General features: G+C 41.5%; 2 annotated features.

The window, feature by feature from the left end:
- Positions 5,212–6,411: an enhancer, noted in NCBI's record as "MED14-independent group 3 enhancer chrX:47675037-47676236 (GRCh37/hg19 assembly coordinates)". NCBI's record gives its function as "activates an origin of replication core promoter dependent on BRD2, BRD4, P300/CBP and CDK7 cofactors, and independent of MED14, by STARR-seq in HCT116 cells {active_cell/tissue: HCT116}" and the evidence as "EXISTENCE:reporter gene assay evidence [ECO:0000049][PMID:35650434]".
- Positions 5,723–6,344: an enhancer, noted in NCBI's record as "OCT4-NANOG-H3K27ac hESC enhancer chrX:47675104-47675725 (GRCh37/hg19 assembly coordinates)". NCBI's record gives its function as "activates a minimal SCP1, AML or CMV promoter by ChIP-STARR-seq in primed H9 embryonic stem cells {active_cell/tissue: H9 hESC(primed)}" and the evidence as "EXISTENCE:reporter gene assay evidence [ECO:0000049][PMID:30033119]".

Below are 7,154 nucleotides of genomic sequence, written 5' to 3'. Positions count from 1 at the left end.
ATGAATGGATATAAGAGAGTATTTCATTATGTTCTCAATAGGCAATTCCCTGATTAGTAATGTTTTGCTCATTATTTTATTAATTTCTGTTTTTAACATTTACTTACTTCCTTTGTGGGTATTTCATTTTCCTTTCCTACAGTGTGTAGTAAAAGTTTAGATAATTCATCTTCAGAATTTCTTGCTTACTAATAAATGCATTTTATGATATAAATAATCTTAAGTATATTAATTTTCCCAGCCCATAGATGTTATATGTAGCGCTCTCATAATACTAGGTAGTTGGTAATCCATTTTAATTTCCTCCTTAACCCAAGTATTAATTGTATGTGAGTGCTTTTAATGTCCAGGTATTTGAAATATTTATTGTCTCTTTGCTTTTACCTCCATTTTTATTTCATTGTGGGTTATGAATATTGCCTTGTGATATCATTTTAAAGATTTATTATTTTGTTGCACTAGTGCAAGGATTTTTAAGGGTGTCTTGTTCATGTTTAAAACATGTGCATTCTCTTGAGTACAAAATAAAGATTGAATATAGCTATATCAAATACCAAGTTTATTGATTGTATTATTCCAGTCTTTGTGTCTTACATATTTCATCTATTTGATCTTGTCAGTTTCTGTGAGATATATTATTCTTCCTTTGTAACTGAATACTCGCAAAATTTTCCCCATTTGTGTCAGTTTTTGTTTTATGTATTTCAAAAGTACATACACACACACACACACATACACACACATATAAATGCTCACGATTGGTGCGTCTTCTTGGTGGCTTGCATGGTTTTAAATTAAGAACTTCCTCTGTTTATCCCTTTTTAAATTCTATACTTCAAAATATATTTTGTCTAATGTTAATATTGTTACTTGTGAATATTTCCATCCATTTCTTTTCTTCATTTAAAACCTTTTCACTGTAAACTTTTTGTATATATACACCAAAGTAGATCAAATAGAATAGTGACTTCCTATGTACCCAAAACTCAGCTGCAACAGTTATCAACGTTCTATTTTATTTCCTCACTTCTCCACCCCTAGTTAAACAGCCCCATTGGTTGAGTATTTTAAAGCCAATACCAGACTTCATATCATTTCATCCATACACTTCAGTATAAACCTCTAACATAACATTAGGATACTTTCCTTTTCTTTTTCTCCTCTTCCTCTCCTGTGCCTGAAACATTTTTAGATATGTATACGTGTGTTAGCAAGCTTCCACTGATTCAATTTCTTCTTTTATTTGTTCACTATATTAGTCTGTTTTCATGCTGCTGATAAAGACATACCTGAGACTGGGTAATTTATAAAGAAAAAGAGGTTTCATGAACTCACAGTTCCATGTGGCTGGGGAGGCTTTACAATCATGGTGGAAAGCGGAATGCAAAAGGCACGTCTTACATGGTGGCAGACAAGAGAGAATGAGAGACAAGTGAAAGGGGAAACCCCTTATAAAATCATCAGCTCTCGCGAGACTTATTCACTACCATGAGAACCATATGGGGGAAACTGCCCCTGTGATTCAATTATCTCCCACCAGGTCCTTCCACAACACATGGGAATTATGGGAGCTATAATTCAAGATGAGATTTGGGTGGGGACACAGTCAAACCATATCATTCACCAAATAAAAAATTATCCAATCCAGGGCTGTAGGAAAGACAGGGAACTATGTGATAATTAGATTCTAACCCTCTAATGTCTAGAATGTTGAACTGGGCTCCAAAAAGGGTGTGACTGATCTGAGGGCACAAAGATAGAGGACACCAGAGCTTAGGAACAAGCCCTTTAAAAAAGTCTTCCCTACTTGCTGGGTCAAAAGGTTCTTCAGCTAGCATAGAGTCTCCTACCACAGTCAGGTAGGGCTTCTCATAGGAGGTACTTGAACTGGGTGTTGCAGAATATGTAGCAGTTCATCCATTGAGGGGATATATGGATTCTTATTACCTCTGCCCCTCTGACATCTCCCAGAGGGGCACTGGCATCTCCATAATTTTCTATTTGAGGTGCTAAGAGGCAGCAAACTGGTTGTGGGGCAGGGTCAGAAATGTGTCTTAATGCTATGCTTCCATAGGAATTATGAACAATAAAATTTTCTAAAAGATGTTTTTGTTGACACATATTAAAGAAAACAACTAGTAGCCATATCAACTTAAGACTTATTTAATTGATACCTATTATTATTTCAGTTGAGATGGCTTGTGGGGGAGCTGATGGAGATTATGAGGATGTTTAGGTTCTTACTCCAACCACATCGCTCTCCTCCCATCACCAACACAGTGGGACTGGACAGTACCACTCTGATTTATCTCCCCTCTCTCCTCATGGTATCTCCTGGATGGGGACTGTACCACTCCCACTGCATCCTTTCACATCCAGTAGTATCACCAAGGAGAGGATGAATCTGTCCACCAGGAAGTCTACCCAAAGAAGTGTTACTGGCAGTGAGTCTGGGCAGGGTCTACAGTCCTCAATTCTTGTCTTCTTGAGAGAAAGAATTCAGCTGAGAAACAGAAGTAGATTTAAGGCAGAAATGAGAGTTTATTGAAGCAAAGTACACTTGAAAGGAACCAAGCAAGCAACTCAAAAGATGGAACGCCCCACCTGATTGTTGGCTCAGGGCTCTTATATAATAATTATAATATAGAGTTACTATTTCCTGATTCTTCCCAGTCTCATCCTTCCTCTTGGATAGGCTGTTGGCTAATCACCACAGGCACAGTGACTTGCCAGTATCTGGGAGGGGCGGCATGAGCCATTTAATTATTGAAGTTATGTGCATGCTGTCTTAGGGCAATTTTCACTTACTGGTCTAGTGCCCCTGGAGGAAGATCATATATAGGTCAGACTCCACCATTTTGCCCCTTACTGTGCATGCCTGGACATGTTCCCAGAGGAAGATCAAACTTTGCCATTTTAAGTTCTTATTGGGAAATTGTTGCCAACAAGCTCAAGATGTCTCTTGTTTGTTAGGAAATTTTCCCCTCCCTGTTACCAGCCACCTGACAACCACCTGACAGTCAACTGAGAGTCACTTGACACTCTTTGGGGCCCTATCCTCTTCTGCTCATATCTGCCTATCTACCTACTCTAACAGCAGTGCAGGCCATTTCTTCCCAGGGAAGCACCACTGTTCTGCTCTGTGAGGTGGGAAGCCACAACTTCTTTCACTGTATAGCATGAACACCCTTCCAATGATATCATCTGCAAATAAAAATGATTACCTCTCCTTTCTTAATATATAATCAGTTTATTTTATCTTCATATTTCATCGCATTAGCTAGAGCTTTTTCAAAACACCGTTGTGATAGGAACAACTGTATGTCATTACTAGTTTTACTGGTAGCAACTTCAGCATTTTACCTTTTAGTAATAGGCTTCCTGGTGATTTTGAGCCTGTAATCTTTTCTGAATTTTCATATTCCCATTTTAGTCTGGTTTTAGTTTGAGAATACTGCCAAATTGTGTCAAATGCTTTTTTAGTATCCATTGATGTGATTTTGTCGTTTTCTCCTTTATTTCTTGATGTAGTGAAATAAACAGATAGATGTATTAACATTAACCATCTTTACCTTGAAGTTGAAGTAGGAGACGTAGTCAAGAAAGTAGCCATGTCTATCAGGATGTGTTAACACAATGCTTGCTTTGTGGTCATGCTCCTCTGGCTTAGGCAAGACCTAACTTCAGTGGGGACTTCAGCCAGTAGAAAGCATGCACTTTAATTTTACTTGTCCTTGGACTGACTTTTTGCTCATTATACTAGTGAAAAACACACTGCTGGGTGGAGATTTAAGATGCTAATGAGATGTGATGTATGAACAAACATGTACAGTTACCGAACATGTGCACCTAGAGGACCACCCATAACATACTTACTAGCAATGCCCTTTCCCACCCTCTTAAGAATAATCATGTAAAACTCCCCTAAAGGGAGCTTCCCTAGTGTCAGCCAGGGGTGTCTCACTCTTGAGCAGCCCACTCTGACTCAGCTCTCAGAGTGCTCTTTCAATTTTGTAATAAACTGGTTTATGGCTGTATCTCCCTTGCTGTGTGTCTCTTGCTTAAATTCTTTAAACCAAGAAGACAAGAACTGAGGACTCACAATCACCATCAACAGCCTTACTGGAAAATCCAATTTGGTCATGGGGTAAATTTTTCTTTCCATACTTGCTGGATTCAAATTGCTAAAATTTTATTTAAGATCTTTCCATCCACAAGACAAAAAAAAAAAACCTCCAGATGTTAGAGTAGATAGATAGATAGATGATAGATAGATGATAGATAGATAGATAGATAGATAGACAGCAGGACAGACAGACAGACAGACAGACATGAGCAGGAAAGGCAGCCTCAAAGTAAGGAAGCCCTGGAAACCTTACCCCACTAGCAATCAGAAAAAACAATGGCCATATCTGGACTTGCAGTTAGGCTTATCTGGCCCTAACTGGGACTTATCTGGCCCTGGCAGGACATAACTTCAGTAGGGACTTTCCCCAGCAGTAAGCATGTGCACTTCAACTTGGCTTGCCCTCAAGGTAACGTTTTGCTCATTTTAATAGTAAATATATATACATATATATACACACACACCCCTGGGTGGAGATGTAAGACATGTAACATATATACTAGCATGTACAGCCACAACGTATGCACACCTGGGGACCACCCAAAGGTGAGCATATGTTGCATCCCATTTTTTATTGTAACATCCCATTTTTTATTGTAAAAAATGCATAACATAAAATTTAGCATCTTAACCATTTCGAGGTTTATAGTTCAGTAGCGTTAAGTATATTCACATTGTTGTGCAACTGTAGCCACCTGAGGGGTTCTTCCTGCCCACTGCACAAAGAAAGACCACAGTATTGCAGTAAAGAAAGAGTTTAGGCCAGGTGTGGTGACTCACACCTGTAATCCCAGCACTTTGGGGGGCCGACGCGGGCAGATCACGAGGTCAGGAGATTGAGACCATCCTGGCCAACATGGTGAAACCCCGTCTCTACTAAAAATACAAAAATTAGCTGGGCATGGTGGTGCACACCTGTAGTCCCAGCTACTCAGGAGGCTGAGGCAGGGGAATCGCTTCAACCTGGGAGGCGGAGGTTGCAGTGAGCTGAGATCACGCCATTGCACTCCAGCCTGGGCGACAGAGCGAGACTCAGTGTCTATTAAAAAAAAAAAAGAGTTTAATAGTCACAAGGCGGGCCACGGCATATAATAGACAGAGTTATTATAGTACTCAAATCAATCTCCTCCAAAGCTTGTAGGTTGGGGGTTTTTCAAAGGCAGTTTGGGGGAAGCAGTGGGGGTGGCTAGGCTTGCTGCTAATTGGTTGGGGCAGAGATGAAATCATAGGAGGTGAAAGCTGTCCTCCTGCATGCTGAATTGCCTCAGGGTGGGGCCACATGAGTGGGATTGGTGAGTCTAGGTGGAGCCATGGGTGTCAGACATGCAAAAAACCTGAAAAGATATCTCAAAAGGCCAATCTACAGTAGTGGTGTTATCTGCAGGAATGGCTGGCAATCTATGTCTAAAACTTAGCAGAATCAGGTTCCTCTCCAACCCCTAGCCTGATGGCCTTCCATTAGCTTTACAATGATTTTTGGGAAAGAGCTATTATCATTTAAACCATAACCTAAATATCTTCCAAAGTTAGTTCAGCCCCAAAGCCCAGGAATAATTAAGGAAAAGGCAAGAGGGATGGTGGGCTAGATCAGATCTCTTTCACTGTCATAATTTGCTCACTGATATAATTTTTGCAAAGGCAGTTTCACAACTGTAACTGAGTACTCCCGTTTTCCTAAGCAACAGTTTTTTTCTCTTTTCGCCTTTCCCCTTTCCTCCTACTTTCCATTTAGCCCTTTTTCAAGTGCAAAATAACTTCTCACCTCCCCCTCTCCAGGCATTTCCTACAGGGCAAGTTCATCTGTGTGCTCCAAGAGGGAACTCCCACCTCCAGGGTGTTGCCTCAGGAGGACATGCCCAGAGCATGCCCACTTAGCCACTTTTACAACTTACTTCTGCCCAGGAAGGTGGCAACACAACGGCCCAGTAGATAAGGTACAGATAAGGCTAGCAGAAGAGCCCTGCCCTTGCTCATTTCCTCCCCTACATTATATAAATGCCCACTTTTTCTTCCAAAGGTGAAGCAGTACATTTAAAGCTGGACACTTTGTGCACTCCCCCAAACTAGCTTTGGAAATAAAATCACTTTTCTGGAAAGTACCAGGACTCACTCTTGTTAATTGGACTCTACATTCAGCAAGCAACTAACCCACTTTTTGGTTGCAATTTTTGGTGGCCCATACAGGGACATGCTCTGTGCTCCAGGTAGGCTTCTGCCTGATCACCCAATTTCGCTATCAGATGAGACATGGGGTCACCTGTGAGTGCCAGCTGCTCATGGCTATCAGGTCCCACGATGAAAGCATTAGGGAGCTTCCCAGCAGCTGCAAAAAATGCTTTCTTATGGGGAAATTTCCCTTTTGCTCCCCACTCCCAGCACAACATTTGCTGCCTTCAATGCATTGCCTGTGCAAGGGAAATGAATTCTGGGAGAAAAAGAGAAAGAGCTGACAAACTTTGGAACTGGGTAATTTGGTTGGCAGTGCACCTGACCACCCTCTGTCTCTTTTGGGGTGTCACTGAAGCCCTGCTCTACTTAAGACCTGGCTGTTAGTGACATCATTTGAGCATTTTAATGCATTTGTATTTATTTGTATGTGCGGCACCATGGGACCTGTGCTCGGACTGGACTTAACAGCCCATGGAGCCATTTGGAACTGGGGAGAGGGATTCAGGACCTCACCCAGCCCCCTTGGTTGGGGACTCATGTGGAAGCATGCTGTCTATTTGCATATATGAATATATGACTTTGTGTATGGGCCCTGATTTCTTTCCTCTCTACCTCCAACTTCACCCTTCTATCTTTGGAGAGCCGCTTACAGCTTTACTCTTCTCAGCTGCAGGCAGCTCTAGCTCCCTCTGGCTGGAAACAGTTTGCCTGACCAGTGACTTGCAGAAGTAGGAGGAACCCATCCCACACTGTGCAGACTTAGGGTGCTGAGGCTCTCCCTGATGGGAGATAAATGATGGTGGTGGAAGTATCAACCTCACACCACTCAATGTCTGCAGGAGGGCTCCTGAGCTCCCTT

This window comes from Homo sapiens, chromosome X, assembly GCF_000001405.40.
Source record: "Homo sapiens chromosome X, GRCh38.p14 Primary Assembly".
NCBI classification, from domain to species: Eukaryota; Metazoa; Chordata; class Mammalia; order Primates; family Hominidae; genus Homo; species Homo sapiens.
The sequence above is the reverse complement of the archived record's forward strand: the minus strand, read 5'-3'. Positions and strand labels throughout refer to the sequence as shown.